The following is a 27,763-nucleotide window of genomic DNA, read 5'->3' as shown; positions in this document are numbered from 1 at the left end:
ATCATGTTGGTCAGGCTGGTCTCGAACTGACCTCAGGTAATCCGCCCACCTCGGCCTCCCAAAGTGCTGGGATTACAGGCGTGAGCCACCACGCCTGGCCCACATTTATTTTTTCTAATCTCCATAGTTCGCTTTTCTTACACATACTGTTGTTTTTTCCTGAAGCCCTTTTTTACTGCCTTTCTCTCATAGTGGAAAGATAAAATAAAAAAGTGGTTTTTAAAAAAAAGTGCTTTTACGTGTTTTGCTTTGTTTTGTCTTTTAAGTTAGAGCATGATCTGTAACTGCCAGGCGCAGTGGCTCACACCTGTAATCCCAGCACTTTGGGAGGCCGAGGCGGGTGGATCACAAGGTCAGGAGATCGATACCATCCTGGTTAACACGGTGAAACCCCATCTCTACTAAAAATACAAAAAATTAGCCGGGCATGGTGGCGGGCGCCTGTAGTCCCAGGTACTCGGGAGGCTGAGGCAGGAGAATGGCGTGAACCCCGGAGGCGGAGCTTGCAGTGAGCCAAGATTGCGCCACTGCACTCCAGCCTGCGGAACAGAGAGAGACTCCGTCTTAAAAACAAAACAAAACAGAACAAAACATGATCTGTAACTATGCAAGAGGATAACTCCATTTTTAAAAATTTTAGTTTCATCTGTAAAGGTAAACCTATATTTCTTTTAAAGGGAATGCATTCTATATCAAATCTGATACAGGTTGCGGAGGTGATTAGTGTGCTTTTTTTTTTTTTTTGAGACGGAGTCTCGCTCTGTTGCCCAGGCTGGAGTGCAGTGGCCGGATCTCGGCTCACTGCAAGCTCTGCCTCCCGGGTTCACACCATTCTCCTGCCTCAGCCTCCCGAGTAGTTGGGACTACAGGCACCCGCCACCACGCCCGGCTAATTTTTTTGTATTTTTAGTAGAGACGGGTTTCAACCGTGTTCTCCAGGATGGTCTCGATCTCCTGACCTCGTGATCCGCCCTCCTCGGCCTCCCAAAGTGCTGGGATTACAGGCGTGAGCCACCGCGCCTGGCCCTAGTGCTCTTATTTTGTCATGTTGGCTTTTGTTTTTAATGTTGAGACTTTAGTCTGGCTTTGTACAGAGGAGTCGAGTTGTGGCATTACCCAGTAGACTTCTTATGTTTTTAGGCATTTTGGTGGGTCATTCCAATGCTTTTAGTAAGTACTTCGGAAAGGAGTATGTTTGCTCTATTAAGAACATTAGGAAAGGGACTTAGGTAGGAAAAAATTATGTTGGTTTCCCTACCTACTGTTATCTGTCAATTCTTTCCTTCTGTCTTTCTATGGTCCTGTTTCTGGTAGTTTTACATATTCCTTTGAAATTCTGTTTTGCTCATTAGTTCTCAGCAAAAGGTGAGACTTACTTGCATTTCCTTTCTCCTGTTTGCTTTTATGCCTAGGATAGGTAGAACAGATTCTCTAATCTGTGCTACCTGTTCAATAGAACCTCTGGGTTTATCTTCACTTTAATAGCAGCTTTTATTTTTCTCACTCAGATGAGTGAATTATCTGGGTGAAATGGGTGAAAACAGTACTTGCACTTCCTTAATTATAACTCCCATCATATGTTTTATGACTCTGGACAGTCAGAGCAGACCTCTGATTGGTGGATTAGGGAACCAGAATCTCATTATATCATTTTCTCAAAAAAAAAAAAAAAAAAAAAAAAGGGTTTGAGAAACCTTCCCAGCATAATGGCATTGAGTATTTCAAAAGTATTTACCTTGTGATGTGGAAGGTAGGGGTTTTGGAAAAAGCATGTCTTTTATTTATACTGCATTTATTTATACTTCTGTGATAAAGGTCTATAAAGAGTATCCCTGAGATGGGGAAGGTTAAGTATGAAATAGAAATTCTTCAAGAAAAGGGCTGATAATCAAAGTGGGGAGATTAACATGCAGCAACAAGCAGGCCCTTTGGGTCTTCTTTCATGTCCCATTGGTAGTAGGGGGAGAATAAATATTTATTAAAATACAAAGGCAATTCTTTAAAAAAAATTTTTTTTTTTTTTTTTTTGAGACAGAGTCTCGCTCTGTTGCCCAGGCTGGAGTGCAGTGGCACGATCTCGGCTCACTGCAAGGTCCACCTCCCGGGTTCACGCCATTCTCCTGCCTCAGCCTCCTGAGTAGCTGGGACTACAGGCGCCCGCCACCACGCCCGGCTAATTTTTTGTATTTTTAGTAGAGACGGGGTTTCACCGTGTTAGCCAGGATGGTCTCGACCTCGTGATCCGCACGCCTCGGCCTCCCAAAGTGCTGAGATTACAGGCGTGAGCCACAGCGCCCGGCCTAAAAATTTTTTGTTTTATTTATTTTTATTTTTTATTTTTAGAGATGGGGTCTCACCATGTTGCCTAGGCTGGTCTTGAACTCCTGGGCTCAAGCAGTCCTCCTGTCTTGACCTCCCAAAATGCTGGGGTTACAGGTGTGAGCCACCCTGCCCAGCCAAGGCAATTATTTAAAACTCCAAGTAGAGGTAGTGATATCTAAATGGATATATTTTATATGGTGTGGTGTTAATAATTACTACTACCAGTAGGTCTGTAAAGTTCAAAAAGGACAGACATTTATAAAAACTGCATTTACATTTTTTTCAGCTTAGATGGAAATTGCATGGATAATGGATGAATTTAGGGAATAAACTGATATTCCACTGGACTCCAGTAAGGATATTTCTCTCAGAATATGATTGAGATTATTTTCTTAACATTTTTTACTTCTTAGAAGAGGAAGGACCCAATACTGAATAAACCATGGATTCTATAGTAGGAGCCTGTTTTTTTCCTCTAATTCAGCTAAGGATTCACATGTTTAAGTATCATGGAATGATTCTTGGTACAGGAAGAAGAGAAATGATTTGGGATGCAGAATTGCCAGCATATGAGATGGTGTTTTAGTTAGTGTGTGTTTATAAATAAATAATTTATTCTTGTGTTTCTGTTTTGCATCCTCCTGGGTTGCTGAAAATTTGGTTTATGAGATGAAAACCACTGGGGTGGTTCTTTTTGCCTTATATCTACCTTCTTTCCAAAAGTGGGAGGGGAAACAGGAAGGCCTTTAGTCCCTGTTATTTAAAACTTTCTCTTAAAACTTTGAGACATATCTATTATTTCTTACTCAGAATCCCCTTGGCCCCTTTTAGTGGTCTCTAATGATTCCTTCTGCGTGTTAAAAGTATAGTGTTGATTTATAAGGAAATACATTAGGAATTTTGAATGAGGGATTTGGGCTGCCTCTCCTTAGCCAAACTTCCTCTGGGATCTTCTTTACCACATTGTTTAGGGTAAAAATAATAGGAAGTTTGCATTTTCTTATTAATCCAGCTGGGTTTACTTTGTTTTCATTCCTTTTCTCTATTTTAAAATCCTATCCACCTGTTCTTTTTAATATGACTATCTATGTTCTTTTTTACATTAACAATTAGGATCAGTTGTGTGGCCGGGACCCTACTCTCACTGATGAGCTGCTGAATATTCTCACAGAGCTAACTCAACTCAGTAAGACCACCAATGCCAAAGTAGCACTTCGAGCACGCCAGGTAAGGACATTTGTTGGTTTTCTTAAAGGAGGGATGGCTTTCATAGATCAGGCAGTCCTAGACACAATGAACTTTTGCTTAATCACTTTACAAAGAACATGTTATTTTCTATATATGTGTCACGTTTTCCTCAGAACAAATGTTTTCATGTGGTATGTTTTTTTAAAGAGAAAGGAAAAGATTAGTGCTGCGTCTCTTTAAAATAGAAGCCCTTTCCCCATTAAAAAATCCTGGTATCATTCCCTTCCCTCCCTAGTAGCCCTGTGATAGTAAACCAGGGTCAGGTGGAGGAAAGGACACTCAGGGAAGAAAATAGACTCAGTATTTCTTACTTCCCAAAGGGAGCTTAGAAGCAGATGAAAACTTCCAAGTGTACAGGAAATAATCAAGTGTGGAAAGCAGAAAGATAATGAAATGAATCTTAGGCGGCAGCAATCAGAACAACCCCAGAGAAGTCCAGTTAGTTTCACCCTGCAGTCTTCATTTCCATTCCAAAAGGTTTCAGCAGGGAAGCCAAGAGTTGGCACTCCCTTTGTGTTTCAGTGCATGGGCATTGACAAGGAAGCAGCATTTGAAGCTGTTCAGTGACCTTCTGCTTTCTCTACAATTGTATCCATGTCACTGAACTACTCAAAGCTATTGAACCTCTCAGTGACCTGCTGAGGGTATTCAGATCCTACCGTGTCACTGTTTGTTTGTTTGTGACACTGCTTTCACTCTCTCTGCCCCTCACACACACTGGTGTTACTTCCTGACGCGTTCTCCTTGGTGCCGAGTACCTGGGGCTGTCAAAGCAGCTTTCCCTAGTCTTTCTTTCTACTTCAGAGTTGTAAAAGGCTAGCTCTGCTGCATCTACCTTTCCCACAGCTGCTCCCTGCCAGACCTGATTCCCAATTAACAGCTAGTCATGCAGTCCCTAGGACCAGCAGCTTTGCAATGGTAAATCACATACACTGATGGAACTTGATCGAAGCTGTTTTCTCTCCCTTCCCCCTACCCACCATGGGAAATTGGCCACAATGCAAATCATGGTGAGAGTCAACTGAGATTCAGTATTTGGTGGCACTGGCTTTATGTTACAGGACCTAGAAGTTGTTTTACTTGGTCTCTGTTTTATCTGTGATGCCTGCACTTACAGATTTATATTTATTGCTTTTGTATCAGAGCTGCCTAATAGGAGTCTAGAATAATCACTCCGAGGAATGTGTGCCTCCTATTTTGTTCTCACTCTAGGTTCTTATTGCCTCCCATTTGCCATCATATGAGCTTCGCCATAACCAAGTAGAGTCTATCTTCCTATCAGCTATTGACATGTATGGACATCAATTTTGCATTGAGAACCTGCAGGTATATATATATATATATATATATAACCCTTTCCTGCCTATCTGGACTCTTACCTCCTTTATTCTCAAGCATAGTTTAAGTAATTAGTCACTTAATTAATTAATTTTGATTTTCCATATAATGGAGTTTCATATCTTGACTTTCTAAAATGATTTATACTTATGAATATTTTTTTCATACAAATGCTGTTAGAATTGTGGTTTAGCTTAAAAATCAAATAGGCCTGCCTTGATAGAAGTGTCCTATTGAAGTCTTTATCTTTGTACTTTACCTAGAAAGTATTCTAGGCCAGAATTAAATGACAAGGCTGGTTGATTTCTGATATATATATATATATACACACACACATTTCTCTGATGATTTATGATATTTGAATCAGATGTATACATAGGTAGTTGTTACTCTTCTGGAGACAAAGCTATTTAAGTATCATTTAATTTTAATTTTATGTTAATGCTTATTATTAAGCTTTATAAGAAGCCCGTTTTTAAGAGATTATTGTCTAATTTTACTACTAATCAGAAGGACCACCGCAATTATTTTTTAAATGTTATCTTCTCAGGAATGACTTTATATTTTTCTACCTGGAAACAAGGATACCATTGTTATATCTGGCCCAGGGGAATCTTTAGACTTTCTGTAACATTTCTTCCTGGGGAATCTAGAGGGGAAAAAAGGATGTTTTTTCTTATTTGGTTAATAGCTGAAATCTAGGGTTTCAACTGGAGTTCAAATCTAGGGTTTACCATAGTGGAGTATTGAGACAATATTTATTTTATTTAATTTTTCTGAGACAGAGTCTCACTCTGTTGCCCAGGCTGGAGTGCAGTGGCATAATCTCGGCTCACTGCAACCTCCACCTCCTGAGTTCAAGCGATTCTTGTGCCTTGGCCTCCAGAGTAGCTGGGATTACAGGCACTCACTACCACGCCTGGCTAATTTTTGTATTTTTAACAGAGACAGGGTTTCGCCATGTTGGCCAGGCTGGTCTCGAACTCCTGACCTCAAGTGATCTGCCCGCCTTGGCCTCCTAAAGTGCTGGGATTATAGGTGTGAGCCACCATGCCTGGTGAAGACAATATTTAGAGAGTTCAGATAAATGTCAGAAAAGAATAACAGTCATAAACACTTATATTAGCATACAAATAATGCATTGTTAATTCAGTATTCCAAGAATTTTACATGTATTTACTCATATAATACAACAGCCCTATGAGGATAGGTATTTTATTTTCTCCATTTTGTAGCTCAGGAAGCTGAGGCACAGAGAGATTATGGCATTCAGAGACAAAATTCTTAGGTTTCACTAAATGCTTCAAATGCCAAATAGTGTCCATTGAAATTGTTCTCCTTTTGATGTAAGGCTTAAGCCTGTCTTTGTATCTTCTAGAAACTCATCCTATCAGAAACATCTATTTTTGATGTCCTACCAAACTTCTTCTATCACAGCAACCAAGTAGTGAGGATGGCAGCTCTGGAGGTAAGTATTTATGGTAATGGGACATGACCTTTTCCTTTGTTTCTAGCTGGTTTCTTCTGTCTATTTGGCTGCCATGTCAGTTCTAGTTCTCTGGCCTTAAGGTTGGTTCTTAAGGGTAGTTAGTCTCTTTTCCTCTGAAACAGTATGTGCTTACTCAGATACTTTACTCAAGTGTTTCATCTGAACTCATCACCAGCTTCTAGGTTCCAATCACAGGAAAATAGCTGCCAGCATTTTTCAGTAGTTTCTATTTTCCAGGTATTTGAATTCTCCCATTTCATAATGAATTAGGATTCCTTGTAACACAAAAAGCGAAAATATATGGCTGATCAGAGCATGTGTCATCTTACCATTGTGTGATTTGGGCCAAATTAAAATTGATTTTAGTTATGTTTGGATTGTCAAGCAGCTCTTATGAAATACTTCCTCAAAGGAAAGAAAGTAATAGCATTTAATGAACTGTGTTTTAGGTATTTTATCTTTCTCATTTAATCCTACAGTTACTTTAGGAAGTAAGAAGAAAGTGAGACTCTGAGAGGTTAAGTGATTTGTCCAAAATCACATAGATAATAAGTGGAAGAGTTTGCATTTGAACTCAGGCTAATCTGACTCCAAAGACTTCTGTTTCCGCTACAGCACACTACCTCATTAAGCACAAAAATTGCAGGCCCTGAATACCACTGTAAAGTTGCCAAATAGTTGTTTTTTGAAGATGGGGAAAAAGAGTGTTTTAGATGATTTTATGTAATGTAACATCACGGTAGTCTGTTGCCAGCTCTTTTGTGTTACTTTTTATTTGTACTCTGTGGTAGAGTGTAAATTATCCTACTCAGTAAATGCCAAAAGTTTTAAAACATTTAAGTGTTTTGTAGTGTTTTTATGTCATTTAATGAGAAGCTTCCTTATATACTTCCCGTGCCATAGAATCTCAGGTAGCATTTTATGTGCATGGCAAATTTGCTGTGAAATGTGTGAGGTTGGACTGACAGTTTTTGCAGAGATGTAGCCTATTGCTGTTTCTTTTTTTAATTTATATTTATTTTTATTTTATTTCATTGCTGTTCCTTTAACTCTTGAGTCAAGTTCAAGTATTTGAGATATTATATGTCAAATTATGTCTTACTGCTTATGCCTTACTGCTTTTGATCAGAGTTTGCTGAAAACTGATTTTGAGCGGGTGGGGAAGTCGGGGAGGACGCAAGACAAAGACATGAGATAGTAAAAGAGTTGAACTGTACTGTGATTGCTTGTGTCTTCTATTTTCACTCTGTAAGTGGCTCAAAATCAGCACCTCTCATTTTTCTCACTGCTTAATCTTCTGTTGAAATGATCATGCTTAATAGATTAATAGTTGTAGTTCTATATGCTGTCTTTTGCTAAAGATTAAACCTTCTCCAGGGTTTAGGTTAGTGTGGAAGAAGGTTTACAGTGCACATAGGTGTCCAGCAGAGGCAGCCTAGTTTTGTTTTCATTAGTAGTCATGGTTATAGTATTAAGACTCCAGCTTTATTAATTAAAGCAATATATGTACGTATACATAGGGCCTTGGGACTTCTCTCCCCACAGAGCACCTTCTGCCTCAGATACCTCGTTTCAAGACTCTTTTTCTGGGCTATTTTCTTAATTTCTGTTTTTGAAATTTATTTACTGAGGGTTTCTTTTGAACCAGGTGTATGTTCGAAGGGCTTATATTGCCTATGAACTTAACAGCGTACAACACCGCCAGCTTAAGGACAACACCTGTGTGGTGGAATTCCAGTTCATGCTGCCCACATCTCATCCAAACAGGTGAGTTTGAGGTGGTATGTGCACCCGAGCCAGCCAGAGGTATACCATGAGAATCAAGGGGAGTAATGTGTATGACAATTCCATGTTTTTTTAGTTAGAAATGTAGGGCAAAAAATGAACAATATGAACCAAAAGAGAAGAGCCTTTTGGTGCCCACTTCTTTGATCTAAAGAGAAAAATTATGGTCTAAGTAAGATGAAAGTTTAGGATTACTCCATTCATTCTTGCTTGTATTATGTCACTGAGGAAATAGTTTCTTTTTTAAAAAATTAGAAAGAATTTACTAGCATTTTACTTGCTAGAACTTTGCCAGAAAAATCACTCTTTTTAACAATTTAAATCAGCAATTAGACCAAAAAAATACTTTGGGTGGAATGCTTTTCTTTTCTATATGTTTGCTATGGGTTGAGGTTATATCTGAGCCAGTTTCATTATCTCCCTAAAACAGACCACCTGAATTTAGCAGTTGAAATTCAATCAGTTTTTAAAAATTACATTGCAGAACCAAACTTCTTAATCTCAAATAAATTACTGAATTAAGCCATGATAATTACATTATTTGTCCCTTCCTGTCTTTTAAAAAATAAAATGTACATATGGACGTTTTTGTTTCAGAATTGCTTTTGTTTTAAAATGAAAATACTTTATCTTATAGACTATCTTTTAAAAAGTATTCTAAGGCAATGAAAATCTAGGAATTCCACCCACACATAGGTTCATCCCCTCCTGTACTTTCATTCTTTTTAGTAATACCACAGGAAATATAAATACCACAGCCAATCTTAACCTGCCCCTCTCCATTTCTTCTTTATGGCCTTTGGTTCTTCACTTGGTATTACAAAGTACTGTGTCTTTTGGGAACCTTAGTTATAGACACCAGAAATGGTTTTGTTCTAAATTGCCACTTCACCCAAAGCAATAGAAACCCTTTCTGGAGACAAAGAAGTCTGTGCTGAGACTTTTGGCCACTGGATGCCACTGTTGATCCAGCAGAGGTCGGCAGATGAGCAGAGGCATCTTCAGAAAAAGTACCTCTCTTCTTTGTCTCAGAATATCCTTTCACTTCTCTACCTCAAAAATACCTTATGGCTGGCAGAGAAAAGCATATATCCTTGATTTAGCAAGCATCTCTCGGTACATTTTTGCCTCCATGGATTTCAGAATCTCATTTTCTAGAAACGAATGGTTGTCCTTCAGTGAGCGGCGAAGTACTCATGGCACACATAGGCACAGCACTCAGTCTTCTTTCTTTTCCTGCATTCCTTGAATAATTGTAGAGAACTACACGCTATACTTAATGCTCTTTGTAATTCTCAGGGCAGTTCTCCTTTTCTTCCTGCTTTTTCCTGCTTCCCTTTGGGCAGTGATTTGTAGTCAGGCTGCAGGGCTGCTTCTGATTTCCTTCCCTCCTCATCACTCTCCTTGTCTCTCTTAATTGTTCTCCCTGTCCTACTTTTTTTTATTTGAGGATATGTCCAGTTTGGTGAGGGAATGTTGGCTGAAAAATGAGAGAAATTCTTCTTGACTGCTTTGTTAAGAAATCTTATTCACCTTTCTATGTCAAGAGTATGAATCTTGGTTAGTTCAATGTGGTTACAAAACTTATATGCCAGTCCCTCCCAACATCTGGACATGCCTGTAGATAAAGATCAGACTTGAACATAACAGTAATCCTGTAATCTCCCTGAAGTCTCCCTTGGTTGTCAGTGTAATTCTAAACCTGCTGGATTATTATTGTTATTGTCATCATTATTATTGGTATAACTGTGAAGGTGAAGATAATTGCAAAATAAAAAGGAAAAATAAAATCATCTTTGTGAAAACCAGAAAAATGTTAAAATTTCTTTAATTTTTTTTTTGATCTAAAGTTCTGTTTAGGATCAAATGATCAGGTTTGATCATAAAATGATGTATTCAGTTTCAGAGTATAGCTTGTTCAGTTATTGCAGATTTACTACTTGAATTTAGTTTTATAAGATTATATACATAATATATTATAATATATGAAAAATGTGTTTTTTATATATATAATATATATGAAAAATATGTTTTTTATATATATAAAATATATTTTTCCCCCAAATGTTTTTGTTAAAATTTGGATTTATAACCTTATTATGACACCAGCTGGTGTACTGCAATTGAATTCTGACACTAGCCATCTGAAGTTAGATCAGATGCCACAGGCTAAGGGCTCAGTCCACCACCAAATTGTCCCTACTTCAGATGGGGCCATAAGTGGGGTCCCCTGGCCACTTGCACTTCTGACCAACTGGCTACAAATTTGAGGGTCCCCTCAATTTTCTCAGTTTGATAATTCCCTCAGAACAACTCACAGAGTTCAAGCACTACAGTTTTATTGTCAGGATCAGCCAAAAGCACGAGACGCTTAGGGTGAAGTGTGGGATGGTCTCAAACACAGAGCTTCCCAGTTTGTTCCCTGTGGAATCAGAGTTTATCAACCCTCTCAGCACATCCATGTGTTCACCAACCAAGAAGCTCCATTGACCTTCAGTGTCCAGAGTATTTTAAAATCAGGGCTTCATTACGTAGGCATGCTTGATTAAATCATAGCCTACGTGATTAAACTCAATCTCCCCTCCCAGAGGTCTGGCTGGCTGAAAGCCCTCAACCTTCTAATCACACAGTTGGTCTTTCTAGTGACCAGCTCCCCTCCTGAGTCATCTCATCTCTTAGCATAAACTCAGGTGTGATCCAAGGGACTTAAAATAACAATGACACTCCTATTACTTGGGAAATTATAAGGATTTAGTCTCTCTTCCAGGAACCAGAGACAATGGCCAAAGTCTTTATTATACAATAGGCCTGCTCATCTTAAACAGAAATCTAAGCTCTTTTAGATTTAGCTAGTTTTGAGCCAAGTACTTTTCTTCTTTTTCTAACTCCAGTACTTTTTTTGTATGTTATTGTTTTGATCAAGCAGGCGAAAAGCATATTGTTTCTCATTCTACAGAAAGAAGTTACAGAGGGCTACCAATATTTGTTCCACTCTGTCCTGTAAGGCTCAGTTATGTCCACTAACCTCTAGATTAATGATTCTCAAAATTATCTGAGGGGTAATTTGAAAATACACATATTGGAGTCCTGACTTTCAAGACCCGATTCATTTTGGATTAGAGTCCAGGTGACCACTTTGAAAAGCTCCTCTGAACTCTGATGAACAGCTATAATTGACAGTTACTACTTCTAAACCAGTACTGTCAAATAGAAATATAATACAAGCTACATGCTATTTAAAATTTTCTATTGGCCACATTTAAAAGTAAAAAGAAACAGATAAAATTAATTCAAATAACATCTTATTTAACCCATTATATCCAAAATACCATTTCAATATGTAATAACAATTGTTAATATTTTTTCTTTTATTCATACTGTATCTTTGAAATTTAGCACGTATTCTATACTTACAGCATATCTCAATATAAACTAGCCGTATTTCAAGTACTACCCTAGCTGCATGTGGCTAATGGCTGCTATATTAGACAGTTCAACTTAGACCAAAAATTAATTAGGACAGTCACACTGAGCCCTCTTTTTTTTTTTTTTTTTTTTGTTACTGGTAGTGCCCGTGGAGAGAGGAAAAATTATTATTCTTATGTTGCTTATTCTTAGTAGTTACAGGAATTATTCACAGTTGATATTATAGATGTTACACTACAATATTTTATGCATGCTTTAAAAATCAGTGAGAATAAAGAAAAGGTATATGAATCATACATATTTTACTTATCAATATAAAACAGAATTTTATATTTTTCCCAATTGAGGTTAACAAACCAATTTTTTTTTCCCCTCCCATAGAGATGGGGTCTTGTCATGTTCCCAGGCTGGTCTCAAATAATTCTCCTGCTTCAGCCTCTCAAGTAGCTGGGACTACAGGCATGTGCCACCATACCTAGTACAGACCAAAAATTATTGGGGGAGAAAACAGGTTGTTTTTTTTTTTTTTTTTTTTTTTTTTTTTTGAGATGGAGTCTCACTCTGTCGCCCAGGCTGGAGTGCAGTGGCGCGATCTGGGCTCACTGCAAGCTCTGCCTCCTGGGTTCAAGCGATTATCCTGCCTCAGCCTCCCGAGTAGCTGGGACTACAGGTGCCTGCCATGATGCCCGGCTAATTTTTTGTATTTTTAATAGAGACGGGGTTTCACCGTGTTAGCCAGGATGGTCTCGATCTCATTACCTTGTGATCCATCCACCTCGGCCTCCCAAAGTGCTGGGATTACAGGCATGAGCCACAGTATTTTGTTTAACCAATTTTTTGTGTTTTCTTTCCTTGCACTTGGTCTTCACATTCCTAGCTAGGTGTTTTTGAAGTAGACAAAATTTGTCCAGCACATCGTTAGAAGTGTCTTAGTAAGCTGTAATATCAAAGCAAGACTGCAATCTCATTGTGTATGGAATTCCATTCCTGCAGCTTTTTTTTTTTTTTTTTTTTTTTTTGAGATAGAGTTTGCTCTTGTTGCCCAGGCTGGAGTGCAGTGGTGCTATCTTGGCTCAACACAACCTCTGCCTTCCAGGTTCAAGCGATTCTCCTGCCTCAGCCTCCCGATTAGCTGGGATTACAGGCGTACACCACCACACCCCACTAATTTTGATTTTTTAGTAAAGACGGGGTTTCTCCGTGTTGGTCAGGCTGTCTCCAACACCCTAACTCAGGTGATCTACCTGCCTCGGCCTCCCAAAGTGCTGGGATTACGAGCGTGAGCCACTGCACCTGCCCTTGTTTTTAACTCCTCTTACTATAATTCCCAGTCACGCAGTTTGTTTTTGACTGTGATTTAGCCTCCATAGGTTGGGGTGAAACACGGCACTCTGTCTGCAAACTGGCAGCAGAGTTTTTTTTGTTTTTGTTTTTGTTTTTTTTTTTATTCAGGAAAATCCCTTAGTTGCTGTTGGGATTGAAGACCTGTATCTTACTTATTAGGACCTATTTTGATTTTTAGAGAAGTAGGCAAAATATATTGCAAATGACTAGGGGAGCCTCTGAAAAGGGAGAAGACACCTGTTTTTAGCACACTTGAACAGTTGCTTTGTAGTAACATATTTGGTACATTTTTGTTTTTCTTTTAATTCATCATAGGACTTTGCATTGTTTGACATGTTGCGGTTACTCTGTTTTTTGGTATAATTCGACTATTTTTAGAAAAAAAAACTCCAATAATTTTTTTAAAAAGCAGATTACTAAATAGTTTATTCCTAATCTGTGTGACTTCCTATTTCATTTCTTGCTAGGTGTGCATCAGTCGAGGTATATTATCTCCTTTTTGATCTTCTACCCAAGACTTCTAAATTTTTTTTCTGGGGACTGTAGTTCCAACTTATTTGGCATCTGTAGGTCTTATTCAGCAGAGGATCCAGTTATTAGAACTTCACTCAGGCAAGCTTCTGGTCTGGATTTACCCTTTACTTCTAAAATTTCCTTCACTTGAACAGCAGCTAAAGAGATTTTTCTGATTTAAGCATAGTTAGAAACATATATATATATATATATACACACACACACACACACACGTGTGTGTATGTATATGTAACATGTGTATGTTGTGTGTGTGTGTGTGTGTGTGTGTGTGTGTGTTTCCTTTTTTACCTTCTTAGCATTAAAGGCTGTGTGATTCTTTTTGAGGGGAGGGGATTTTTTTTTTTTAATGTGTCATTTTTTAACTGACTTGTGTTCTTGAAGGAGAAGTGACTATCTCAAGTTGTTTTCATGGTGCAGGAATATTCAGGGCAACTAGTCTATACTAAGGGAGCATTTTATTATTGTGCAGACTTCTAGAACCTAATTCTCTCATTGAAGATTCTGTGAGCCCAGCCCTTTAGTGAGTTTTACATGAATTAACCCTGGAGTTCAAACTATATCATTGAATATTCCTTTTTCTCCTTCTTTCCCTAGTGAGTCTTAGGGTTTAGAGCCCAAGTTTTGTATATGTCTGTCTTTTTTCCTATTCAGAAACTTAAGTATCACTCACTGGTGCTGGTGATGGGAAAGCTTGTTACACTGAAGCATCATCCTGAATGTCTGTATTTTGCACAATTCATTGACTCATTTGACCTTCAGGATTTCACTAAGCTTTGGGCATATTAAGTGCCTCAGGATAATCTGGAAACAAATTCTTCAGTCAACTAGTATTTGATCTTTTAAAATATAGTTATATTTATACAAACATATGTAAAGTATATTATCCCATAAATTGTGCCTATGCATATGACTCTGTATAATATAATATGACAGTCTGGGAGTACACAATTTAAAACTCCAAATGATTTTTATAATTAATATACGCTAGTGAACATGAGTAATCTTTTTAACCTTTACTCTGTGATTCAAATAAGAAGCATCACATTTGATGCAGGAGATGGAGGTGTACTTTGTTGTACGTTTCTGTACATATATAATGGGTGAGGACCTATTGGTGTTTATTTCCACCTATTTCATAGATGGAAATCCATGCTTTAGTTAAGTCGGATTCCACTGTACCTTCTCTGCTGTTTGCTACTTGTGAATTTGGCCTTCTGTGTTATAATGTTTTAATTCAAATACTTCCCTTTTCTCAAGTCTTACCTCCAGAAGAGGTCGGCTGTGTTTTCCCCTGATAGCATGTGTTTTGGTCATGGCTGAGTTTAGGCTGCTTGGCATCCATCCTCAATGTTCAGCTGTCAGTGGGCGGCCTCTGGACTTTTTATTCATAAGGAAGGTTAGAAATCAGGAGCCTTCCATGTGACTAATTGGTAGCCAACTGCCATTCTCAAGAATTCTGATAATCTTTAACACCCAGAGATTAGACCTTTCTTTGGATAGTACTGAGATACTCAGAAGTCATCCAACTTGTAGCATTGTTTCTGCAGTGGGAGCACTTGTTGTAGTTAGCAAGCCAGAATGAGCTATAAATAAATGAAATCTTACAGTGCTTGCTTCCTTCATTCAGGGTAGTCTGCTGATAAGATGCAAGTATCTGGCAGAAGAGAAGATTCTCAGCAGGTTTAAGTGCTTACCAAAGTGCTTTCCTGTATCCGTGGCTCAGCTTCTAGTCTCTGCTGTGTTATTTTGGCACTCTAGACTTGTAAGATTGGAGAGTTGAGTTTAAAACTCTCAATATATCATTAGGGTAGCCCAAGGTCCCTTCTTGTCAAGGAAGACTAGCTGAGTCCTGGGGGAAGGAAAAGCAGAATCCAGGACACCTGTAAATCCCCGTAGTTTTGTGCTGTGGGTTCGTAGCTAATTATATAGCAGGCAACAGTAATATGCTGTAGCTCTGTTGATGTACTTGTTTCAGAAAGAGCAAAACCTTCCAGCAGAGCAAAGAAGGGGCTTTGGAGGGGCTGCAAATGAATGAAGTAATGATCATTTTATTGTAAACTAAAGCTCTGCAGTAGACTCAGGGCATCTGAACTGCAAGGAGGTGGTGGGGGAGATGCCAGTAGAAATACGTGGTTCAGATGTGTTTTACAGTTCTTGATTTGGATTTTCCTGCAGAAATATAGTCATGCAAAGAGACCACCACTGGTCACAGCCAGTCAAATTGCTCTTTCTCCTATGGTACTGCTGTTAGTGGCTGCTAGTAGGTTATTCAGCCGACCTCTTCTGATTCTGCTTTGCTGCCTGATTTCAAAAGAGTTGCCCTATACTGGCTTTCAGTCACAGCTTGATGTAACCACTGCTTGTTTGCATGCATCCCCATCATTTTCATATGGGCTCTTTTTTTTTTCTTCTTCAAGTTAGGAAGCAAAAGAATCAGGAGCATTTTTATATGATAAAAGATTTATATAAGGCCAGCTAGAATCAAGCCAAATGAAATTCAGCTGGAAGGGATGGTAAAAAGGCTCACAGAACTTGTGGCTGCCAGAGAAGTCAGTGTTCTTTAAATTAAAGAGGGTTCAGCTAGCAGCGGCAACTCTGACTTTGCATTCATATTGAAGCAAGCTCTCCAGCCATTCTGGGCAGGCAGAGCAATAAAATCAGAGGTGACTTAGTGCCGGGAACCTCAGAATTCACAGGATTTCTCTTGTCTTTCTCTAAAATCTATACTGATGTGGAATGCTAACTTGGAGAGCGGAGATAAGAAAATGCCAAGTCTAGATTGTGGTTTATGACACCATATTGAACAATGTCATTGGAAAGCATCCTCTTTGGTTTTTTGGTTATCACATCTGTAAAATGGAGCTAATCTACTAGAAAGAAAGTGGTTCTAATATTCATCAAATGTTGTAAATGAAGATTCATTATAATAAGTGTTTTGAATAGCCCAAACAGCAGATAGGAAGTGAATTTATGTCCCATTTATGTATTTGAAAATATACTTGATTGCCTTATCAAAGATTGAGCAATTTTACTTTTTTTTTTTTTTTTTTTTTGAGACTTACTTTGTCACCCAGGCTGGAGTACAGTGGCATGATCTTGGCTCACTGCAACCTCAGCCTCCTGGCTCAAGCGATCCTTCCACCTCAACCTTCGGAGTAGCTAGGATTACAGGTGTACTGTGTGCCACCACACCTGGCTAACTTTTATATTTGTGTGCGTGTGTGTGTGTATGTGTGTGTGTGTGTGTGTAAAGATGGATTTTGGAGATGTTGCCTGGGCTGGTCTTAAACTCCTGGGCTCAAGTGATCCACCCACCTCAGTCTCCCAAAGCGCTGGAATTATAGGCATGAGCCACTGCGCCCGGCCTAATTTGACTATTTTTGCGTGATGAGTATGCAGTGGAATGTGGCAAATTTTATTTTCAGCTACATAAATGGAATATTTGACTCGTATACAATCTCTTCCCTTAGTTGTGTGTGTGGCTTTTTTTTTTTTTTGGTACAGAGTGTTAATCTAGCTTTCTGGTGTATCACAGTAGTGTGCGATATGCCACATTTGTCATATTCTTAAATTGACCATATAGCCCTTGTATAGGATGAAAAATTTGTAGTGGCCAGGTTTGCTGGCTCATGCCTATAATCCTAGCACTTTGGGAGGCTGAGATAGGAGGATCACTTGAGCTCAGGAGTTCAAGACTAGCCTGGGCAACATAGTGGGACCTTGTCTCTATTTCTTAAAAAAAGAAAAAGAAAAAAAAAAAGAAAACATGTAAATGATCATTATGGACATGACCAAATATTTATCTGTTAATAGACAGTTTATCCTTCCTTCCTTCCTTGCTTATCTCCCTTACATCCCCACAGATTCTTATTCTACCTAAGTGGATAAGCTGGCTCTAAACCTACTTACATGATTGATTTGGGACCATTCCTTTAAAAATTAGAGATGTTGGGAGTTTTTGCTTTTTGACCCATACTGTGTAGATGGTGCATAATTCTTATAACAAAGCAGCAGGGGGCTCTCTATAGGAGCTTGAGAGTTGCTGATGGAGAAAGCCTGGCTTTTTGTTGTTATTGGTGTTCTTTTCAGTTCGGGCCTTTTTCTACTGAAAACATGGCCGTCATCCTGTGAAGACTCCCAAAGGGATTAGAATGTAGCTACAGAAGCAGTTAGATTATTTTATTAGATTAGGAAATTTGTTAACAGTTGAGAGAGATTATACTGGTTTCTAAACTCTAGAAACCTGGATGAATGGAACCTGAGGTTTCTTTGGTTGTAGAGTTCTCTCTGAACTGAGATTCATGCTAAGAAACTGTGCAGGCGGCCCCTTTCTTTAGCATCCTTTATATCGTAAAAGGAAAACTATTCTCATTAGCATCTGCAGTTAGTTTTCTGTTCAGCTGTACCTCCCTCTGTTCTAGAACCTGTGCCTATTTTTTCTGTATTGTTGAGGCCCAAGTGCATTATAACTAAGGATCTCTTGTAAAAATAAAACCCACTCTCCTGAGTGAGAGGCTTAAGGAATCCAAACAGCAAAGGTTCAGGTTTCTGCACTCAGAGGTTGCTCTTGCTGTCTTATGAATTCACTCTGTGATACAGGTTTGATGCAAAGAGCATTTCTACTCACAAATCACATGAGGTATACAGTTTGTGTGCAGTGATATGTCACAGCTTTTTATTTATATGGCCTGCTCAGTCTATTCTGCTCCTTCTACTGCCATGGAAAGTGCATCGTTTTCCTCCCTCTATCTTCCTTTCCACATATCATCAGCACCACCCACTATGTTCTGCCCATTAAGTCCTCTGTGTGCTAGAAAACCCCAACAGTGATTAAATGCTGATAAAAGAATGTTAGAAGGTTAAGATATCAACCGATCAGCCCCCTTACAATGCCCCTAAATTGTAGGTGGTAAGTATAACTTTGCCCATTTAACATTGAAAATAAAGGTTTTTATTTGTTTGATTATTTTTCAGTTGGGGAAATCTTTTAAAAGGAGTTAGTGGCAAAGGCCAAAGAGAATGTGGGAGATGTGCCTTGTAGTTTCCTATTCTTATCGTGGTCTTTCTTTCATGATTTGGCACATTCTTTATAAGGAAGTTCTGTGGTAGTCAAATTTAGATAAGGTTTTATTTATGAGAGGCCTAGAGTTTTTAAGCTAACAGCAATTTTTAAAATCATTATGACCCTAAACTCATTTAATTACAAAGTATTAATTAATTTTAACAACTTATCATAGAATCATTTATCATTACTTTCCTGCATGATTTTCAGTTCTTTTAAGCTCCTAGAATACAGTACCTTCCCCCCTGCTCTCCTTCATGGGAGGAAGAGTATGGTTAAAAAGACTTAGAACAGGTAGCTGGGAACCCAGATTCCTGGATACTTTTCTTTGGTGGAGAATTTGTAGGTCTGTCACATATCCTGGATAAGCGATTAAAGTAGGAGGAGCTGTGGAATCAACTTCCCTGGACCTCCTTATTACACCTTCAGTAATAGGAACAAGAAAGAAGAGTCTCTAAGAATCCTGTGAAGAATTATATTTCTTATTGAAGCTTGAGTTAATATACCATATCATATAGCTTAAATTAATTTTCATCAGCCTGTGTTTTACCACTACTCTAAATTTTTTTTTTTTTTTTTTTTTTTTTTGGTAATAGAGCTATTTTTAAAATCCATGGTAAATACATTTTGACCCTTTCCATCAACAGCTGGTGTGGTGAGGTAGGTTAGGAGCATGCCTCTTTGGAGGTATCCTGGGGGTTGAAGGGTAATGAGCACTTAATTATGTCTGCTGAATGCCAGAGCTGCCAAACTGGAGCTCCTCATGACTGGTCTATATCTGCTCTGACAATTCTTTTATTATGGCTTTCACTAACTTATCAGTAACTAACTGTGGTTGTTTAATTACAGAGGGAACATCCCTACGCTAAACAGGTACCGTATGTTTAGTTTCTTTTCCAATTAAAAGCACCTTTATGTAACTTAGAATAGTGAAACCAGGAAAAAAAAAACCACAACACTTGACAAGATAATGTGTTATCTGCTAGGGAGTCCTGAGCTCCCCTTTGGACATACTAAATTATTCTTTCTGTTTGGAAAACATGGCTTCAGCTTTTCTTCAGCTGTTCAAAAAGCACTACTTGAAAAGCCTCAGTATGGAGAAGCTCCCATCTAGCTGTGTATGATAGGGGGTTTATCTGCCTTATGTCCGGCCTTGCTAGCAACATCTTCTTTTGCTAAGTTCTCTGTGTAGTTTGGGGCTTTCAGAGGAGAAACCCTTAAGGTTACTCCTATCCTGGCAAATTATTCACAGTTTTTACAATTTTTAGTTTCTCTAATTTGCTTCTCCTTTTAGAGGAGTGCAGATCCAGAAATAGCTGATCTCATGTTTTATCAGTTTGTTAGTTAATTTTCTAAAGTGTTAAAATGTTATGATAGTCAGTTTTTATTTCAGACCTATAATAAGATTAACATTGGAAAAGTATATTTAAGTTTTGATGTGTTTAACCCTGTGTGGAGGTTTCCAGGCTAATATAACATAAGTGATATTTTAGTATTTTGGGTTTCTCCTGTCTCTTGAACCAAGCAAGGCAACACAATGCAAGTTTGAGAGGATAACAATTCTGATTGGAATTGAATCCACAAAATGCAAAAGCAATAGTAAGTTGATGGCAAGGTCTTTGCAGATAATCAGCTACACGTGGAACTATTTATAGATTTACATTTATTTTGTCCCTCTCCCTTTAAAATATTAAGTAATCAAGACTAATCATAGCTTTTAGATCCCAATTTGGATGTGGAGAGGAAAGGGAATGCTTTTAATTGGTCTTGTAGTCTTCCCTTGGTGAGTGGGCTTGGCTCATTCCTGCCTGCCTTTAGCCACCCTGGTTCACAAGCATAGCAGTGAGGGGAAACTGAATAGTCGATATTTCCCATGGGGTTCAGTTGAGTGAAAAAGCTACTTAACCCCATGGTTGCCACAAACATAGTTTGTTAACTTCTTCAGAGGGAGTTCCCTTTAAATGTGGTCTGGAACCCTTTTATCTTTCCTGTCTAATGCCAAGCAAGTAGAAAAGATACAATGCCTCACAAACTTGCTTTTTTAGTAAATATATTTGGTGATCCTAGAAAAGAGGAGGATGATAGCACTTCTGTGGTAATACAACTCTGAATCCCAGTTTCTAGTGAGCACCATGTGTAAGACTTGCTTGATGTGTGTTTCATTTGTTTGTTTCATTCATTGTATCAATGGTTTCCTCTCCCACTTTGCCTTCTACTCCCAAGTACTGTCAAAAGATGATGTACCTTTTCCATAGTCATCACTCGCCAAAGGAATAAAAACCTGGAGTGTCAGTCTCTATAGTCTGTGTGAGCAGCACTCCCATCCTACAAAGAATTCCATTGCCTTGTAATTATGATTTGCGATAGGGTACAATATGTACCCAGATATCAAGTCCACGTTGTCGTCTCTCTTCCCCCTGCAACACCGCAGGTGGTGTACTTCAAGGAGATTTTTGGGGCAGTTCCCCAAATTCAAGTGCCATTGCCTTGCCCTGAACTTGCTTCAGATCAGTATGCTGGTAACATGTCAGGCAAGTCCTGGAGGCATCCTTTAGCTTGGTCCTTCCTAACAGGCTGTCCTGATTGAGCATTCAGAAACACTTTACAGTATTATTTATCAGTACATACTGTTAAGGTACATCAAGAAATATAGAGATTCATTGTTTTTAGATTGAGCAAATCAGTTCAGTTCTCTTCAGGCATCTCCGTTTAGCAGCTGCTTGTCATGCTTACACATACTTTGAGACCCATGCTCTGCCCTTTTGTATCTTGCTGGAAATTATTAAGGGCTTTCAATGGAGATTTTTTTGTTTTGGTATAGAAGTGCTTAACTATGAAAAGAAAAACGTGCAATTTGGGGTTGAAAAATAGCTCTCTTTCAAAAAGGGAGAACTGTAACCCCAATAACTATGCCTACCAACCCATTAAAGGAGAAAGTAAATTCCTCAGTAAAGTTCCTTTTATAGACTGTGACCTGTTTCTGTACCCTAATGTTTTATATAATTATTTACTAAACCATTCCAGGTGACTTAATTACAATTGTTGTTTTACATACATATATATACCTATCTCTTTATGTATCTGTGAATACTTACTCTATTACAGTTCCTAGAAAACAAAATGCCTTAAGCATTGCATAGTTACAACTCACTTGGCTTGCTTACTTCCTTTTAAAGGAGGGAATGCTTTAGGGAGGGGGAAGATGCAGGATGGTTTTTAACCCCTATGTGCTATTCATTCATTGGACATCTTATAATGTAATTGTGTTAAAACTGCCTGGAAATTCCTAACAGTTCTTAGCTTTTTATTTGAAGAAATTTTGGAGTGATGAAAATATAGTTTATTTAGGGAAATTCAAAAGAAAGGGTTAACATGAATCCAGCAAAACAACCTTATCCATAGTGGGTAAAAAAACCAAATCTGCTCTGCAACCTGACCCTACTTCAGAGTTTTCTCCTAGTTCCTTTTCCCTACTGTTACTTTCCCAGTCCTTGCTCCTACCCTCCTTGTCTAATGAACGTGATTGAATTACCATTTAGAATGTCCTTCTCCTCCAACCTCAACCACTATGGCATGACCCATGTAGCTAGTGTCAGCGATGTACTGTTGGACAACTCATTCACTCCACCTTGTCAGCGGATGGGCGGAATGGTCTCTTTTCGGACTTTTGAAGATTTTGTCAGGTAAGACATTGTGGAACTATGTCTGTACAAGGGGAGCCATGGACATCTGTGTTTTGGGGTCTCATCTTTCTGCAAAATGAATAAAGGTCTCCCGAATAGCCATGAGCCAGCTAAAAAGATGTAACCCTTGCTGTATATGCCGTTGGAGAGGTATATATCCTTGCATTTCTACCTCTCATTCAGATTCTACAAGCCTCTACTTGTAGTATGGGCCTGGTCAGAAAAAAAGAAACAAACAAAAACCATCTTTTCCTGTGGAGCTAACAGAAGAAGCTGTCTGCTCTGTGATGAGTGAAATGTCAGGAGAAATTAAACATAACACTAGAGTGAGCCCCACAAGAGACAATACATCTTTTGATTAAATGCATTCAGCATCTATCTCTTGATGTATACTGATGCATTACCCTAGGGGGAGGGGTAATTACATTGGTCTGTCACTACTCCAGTTCCAGACACTTTCTGTTACTTTAAGACCGATGATGACAGAAGTGCTCATATCTTACATATGAGGAAAACAAAACAAACAAAAAAGCTTTAGATCATTCTTTCTAAAAAAGAAAAAATATATATGGTTTATTAAAGTTTAAACAATCCATCCTCCTAATTTCTGCCACTTGGTGAAATTTTGCATGTCACCTCTAGCCACTGGTGATTCTATTCAATTAACTATTGAGCCCAGGCTAAGATAGATTATTCTTTTAGACTCAGCTGCCAATGGCAGTGTTAGTTTCATGCCACTTGAGTTTTCATGGTGGGTGTTTCTCTTGTATTTTTTAGGATCTTTGATGAAGTGATGGGCTGCTTCTCTGACTCCCCACCCCAGAGTCCCACATTCCCTGAGGCAGGTCACACGTCTCTTTATGATGAGGATAAGGTATAATGTCCCTTTTGGGAGACTGCTTTGTTCCCCTCAGACATGGGACTTCTACTGTATACTATCTTTCTGACTTTGAACTATTATAGGAAAGAATTCATCCTTTTACCCCACTTTATAGTATTTAATTTTGTATGCCTCACCAAAGTATTTTCTGGAAACAAGTGGAATATAAATCCTAACTTAAAAAAACTATATTAATTTTGGAGTCCATAGTATAGAGTGGGCTCAGCTATGTCCATTGCAGCTGCCTCTGAATCTCTGAATGTTGTTTTAAGGATTTGGGCTTTGGTTGCTGGAATTCTTACTCAGCCATGGCTTATATTTTTGCATAGTGGTGCAATCATAGTCCTCAGAGAATGGAGGACTTTAGATTACAGAAAAAAAGTAGGCATTTTGTTGAAAACTTTGTCTTTTTATTAAATCATTTCTTTTTATTTATCAGTAAATAAATTATTCTTTCTCTATGATGTTATTTTTTCATGATTTGATACTTCCATTGTTTGATAAATTGTAAGGAAATATATTATGTGGGAACATGTCCAGATGGCTTATATCACTCATTTTCCTTCACATTCTGTGAAGAGATGTGGCAAATAGTTTCACCCCCATTTTATTGGTAAAAAAGGTGAGACATAGTGATCTTCAGCTTCATGCCAAGTAAAGATTGGGCCACCTGTTACTAATGCCTCTGCTGCCTTATCTTTTAAAATTTATATGCTTTACCTGATTTAATCTCTCTGTGGCTATTGGGCAGTGGTTTCAATTTGCTCATTCCTACTGCTGGGCAAACCAAAATATCCTGTGGGGTGTATCTCTTTTTCAGGTATTCTACCAAATATTATAACTTCTATCTGCATCTGTATTGGCCAGCCTCATAATTTCTTTGACTTGTGTTCTTGAGTTACAGGTTCCCAGGGATGAACCAATTCACATTCTCAATGTGGCTATCAAGACTGACTGTGATATTGAGGATGACAGGCTGGCAGCTATGTTCAGAGAATTTACCCAGCAAAATGTAAGTTCTTGATTGGGTGGAAGCTCGTGATGTCCCCTTTCTACTGGCTGTGTATCATAGCTATCCTTTTATCAGTTGCTAGTTTATGGCTATGTCTTTTATCATAACTCTCAGAACTATGGCTAGTTCTGCATTTAGGGATAAAATCCCAAAGTGACTTAATAATATATAATGAATATCTTTGTGTGTCAACAGATAATAGACCTCAAATATTTAAAATGTTTTTAAGGGAAGTTATCTTCCTAAATCTCTCCCAGAGCTCCAGTCTTGAACTTCGAATCACCTACCAAGTATTTTCCTTTGGTGACTTTCCACATGTCTAAGCCTAAACTCCCCTTAGGTCCCTTCTGTGTCTTCCCCTCCCCTCCTTTGAAACTATCAGTTATACATCTATCCTCCTTTCAATTTTACGTCACTTGGATATCTCCTGTTGACATCAAACGCCATCGTCTAAATGGACATTTTCCATCATTTTGCTTCACCTCTTCTCGTCCCTCTCCAATCCCCTCATAAAACAAAACAAAAAACCTCACAACTCACTATACCTTTTACTCCCAATCATTCAAAAGTCATTGACTTTTTCCTTGACATTCCTTCATTCTACCCCTCTACCCACAATCTGTACATATTTATTTGTATCTGGTCAGTCACCAAGGTCTGTTAGTTTTTCTTTGCAGTCTTTTTTACCCTTTCTCTTTTTCTTCTTTCCAGTTTTAAAATTCCCACTGCCATCTCTAATTCAAACCCTTACTATCTTATACCTGAGACACTGCAGCAGGCTTACTTGTGATCTACTTATCTTCCTTCACTTTCTCCCTCCAAAGAGTTTCCATTCTGCTCATCACCACAAAATTAAATGTCCCAAATGTGCTCTTACCATGTTATTTTCCCACTTAACAGTGATTCTCTCTGACCTTCAGAATACCTCCTTAACTTTAGCTTCAACATCATCAGCCTATTGAGAGACTAACATGTAGCCTTTGCTATTTTGTGAAAAGACCTGTGTTCATTGTCTAATGTGCCTCATTTATTATACTTCTTTGACTTCCTCTTTCCTAGAAAGTTTTCTTTCACCTTTCTTTCTAAATCTTGTTTGTCTTAAGAACTGTCTCAAATTTCATCTCTTCAGTGAGGACTTCTGAGTAGCCCTAACTAAAATGTATGTTCCTCCTTTGAATTCCTAATTGGTCAGCATACATTTATTAGCAATAATAATGCCTTTTATTTATAAAAAAATTCTACCTAAATTTTTTATTTGCATCTTACCACGATTCCATGGGGTTAGATAAGTCAGGAATTGTTCCAGTTGTACACATGGGCAAAAGCTGGAGCTCAGAGAAATTAAGACCCCTAGGTCACCAGCTAGAAGATGATAGAGCAAATACTAGAACTTAAGGATTTGATGCCAGGTATAGGGGGCACAGATCTAGGTACTTTAGTAAATAATACATTCTTAGCCCTGAAGATGCTTATAGTCTAGTTGAGGGGACAGGATAGGCATGCTTAAAACAATAATCTACAGTTATATTTCATTATGATATGTGATAGATAGCAAAGTGTCCTCTTAAACTGCCCTTGATGGCAAGACCCATGTGTTCTCTTGGAGTGGACAGCACTTAGCCCATGGACTTCTTGCAGAGAAAGAACTCAGTAGATGTTTTCAAAATTTAATTCAGTGGTGTAGACAGTTCGTACCATTGGCATTCACATCATGTAATGCCAATGGTAGATATCTAGGGGAAAAAATGGTAAATTTGTGATGACTATGAGTCTTAGTACTTATTCCATGACGGTGTTGTAGCACTTAAACTAACTATGAGATTGCAGTGGTCAGTATGAGGAAAAGGTGCTTCCAGAGAAGTGAAAGTAGGGGATATGCCTAGGGCTTTTTCTGTAGACAGAAATTTACCTTCCTTCTTGCCCTTGGCCAGTGACCACATAAAATTAACCTAAAGCCAGTGATCAAGGTAATCTTTGCTGGAAGAGTTTTTTTGTTTTGTTTTGTTTTGTTTTGTTTTTTTGAGATGGAGTTTCACTCTTGTTGCCCAGGCTGGAGTGCAATGGTGCGATCTCAGCTCACAGCAACCCCCGCCTCCTGGGTTCAAGTGATTCTCCTGCCTCAGACTCCTGAGTAGCTGGGATTACAGACATGCGCCACCACACCCGGCTAATTTTTGTATTTTAGTAGAGATGGGGTTTCTGCATGTTGGTCAGGCTGGTCTTAAACTCCCAACCTCAGGTGATCTGCCTGCCTCGGCCTCCCAAAGTGCTGGGATTACAAGCGTGAGCCACTGCGCCCGGCCTGGAAGAGTCTTAATATTATATGTGGCTGCTGCTGCTGCTGCTTCATGAAATAATCTGTGAAAGTTTCTTCCTAGGTTTTGAGGCACTAATTGCCCATGTTTGAGTATTTTTCCATAATTTGACCACAACTTGACACTTCTTGTTGCCCTCAAATCTAAGTGTCATACTTATCAACGCATGTTGATCTACAAAGACATTTTCAGCCAGGCGCAGTGGCTCACGCCTGTAATCCCAACACTTTGGGAGGCCAAGGCGGGCAGATCACAAGGTCAGGAGTTCAAGACCAGCCTGGCCAATATGGTGAAACCCCGTCTCTACTGAAAATACAAAAATTAGCCAGGTGTGGTGGCGGGCGCCTGTAGCGCCAGCTACTCGGGTGGCTAAGGCAAGAGAATCGCTTGAACCTGGGGGCGGAGGTTGCTGTGAGCCGAGATTGCACCACTGCACTCCAGCCTGGCGACAGAACAAGACTCCATCTCAATTAAAAAAAAAAAAAAAGCATTTTCTTCATATTCGCTACATATGTTTGTAACATTAATGAGAAATAAGAAATTACCCTTTTCCTTGACTAGGTGTGGAAACTAAGGCACAGAGAAATCCAATATCTTTGCCTAAGGCTATTTAGAAAGGTAAGGGTAGACTGTGCTGACACTCTAAGCATAGAGAAGCTATTTACTGCATCAGGTACTGTGCTTATCCAGGGACATTTGGCATTTTCATCTCCTTGTTAAAATATATGTGTGTGTGTATATATATATATATATATATATATATATATATATATATATATATGAAAGAAAAGGAAAGAAAAGCAATTTAAGAAAAAAACAAAAGATAAAGTGGCAACTAGTTTTGTTTTTCACTTCATGATCATGCTCCTAGCAGTTTAGAAAAAGTTTTTTTTTTTAAGGCACACATTAAACTATCAAATAGGTTGATCCAAATTGTCCAAATAATCTTCTAGTCCCAGCATGTCTTTTTTTCTCTCATAGAAATTAGGATCATATATTTGTAAATGACTTGTGGAGGAGATTGAAGCAGTCAGTGTAAATGGAGTTTCTCCAGGTGCTGATGCCTAATCGCTGGGTAATAGCTGTGGACTTGCTGTGAGACCTGCATTATTACAATGTAATCAGAATCCTGTTGCTCTGCTGTTATTGTCAGCCACTTGTGGAATTTTAAAAGCAATAACAATTTTGATTTTAAATCATGGCATTATTAAAGTTATTTTCTTCCCTTGCCAGAACATAGCTACTGATGCTTGTCTTTGAAGGACTTGACTGTAGTGGAATCTTTGTTGATGTCAGAAGAAGTATTTCTGTTCCTGGCCACACTG

General features: G+C 38.6%; 1 protein-coding gene across 26 annotated transcripts in view; it reads left to right on the top strand.

The window, feature by feature from the left end:
- The window catches only part of ACACA (acetyl-CoA carboxylase alpha), a 321,845-nt gene that overhangs the window by 176,949 nt on the left and 117,133 nt on the right, over window positions 1-27,763 (top strand). For 20 of the 26 annotated variants that reach the window (XM_011524701.2, NM_198834.3, XM_047435882.1 and 17 more), the window contains 8 exons: window positions 3,436-3,549; window positions 4,783-4,896; window positions 6,287-6,376; window positions 8,046-8,164; window positions 19,398-19,421; window positions 22,088-22,231; window positions 23,009-23,105; window positions 24,016-24,123. In XM_011524701.2, coding sequence (XP_011523003.1) covers window positions 3,436-3,549; window positions 4,783-4,896; window positions 6,287-6,376; window positions 8,046-8,164; window positions 19,398-19,421; window positions 22,088-22,231; window positions 23,009-23,105; window positions 24,016-24,123 — 810 coding nt within the window. The remainder of the gene's footprint in view (window positions 1-3,435; window positions 3,550-4,782; window positions 4,897-6,286; window positions 6,377-8,045; window positions 8,165-19,397; window positions 19,422-22,087; window positions 22,232-23,008; window positions 23,106-24,015; window positions 24,124-27,763) is intronic. The other 6 variants (XM_006721853.2, XM_047435892.1, XM_047435891.1 and 3 more) reach the window with 1 other exon arrangement.

Source organism: Homo sapiens, chromosome 17 (genome assembly GCF_000001405.40).
Source record: "Homo sapiens chromosome 17, GRCh38.p14 Primary Assembly".
NCBI lineage: Eukaryota > Metazoa > Chordata > Mammalia > Primates > Hominidae > Homo > Homo sapiens.
This window is presented reverse-complemented; position numbering and strand designations above follow the sequence as displayed.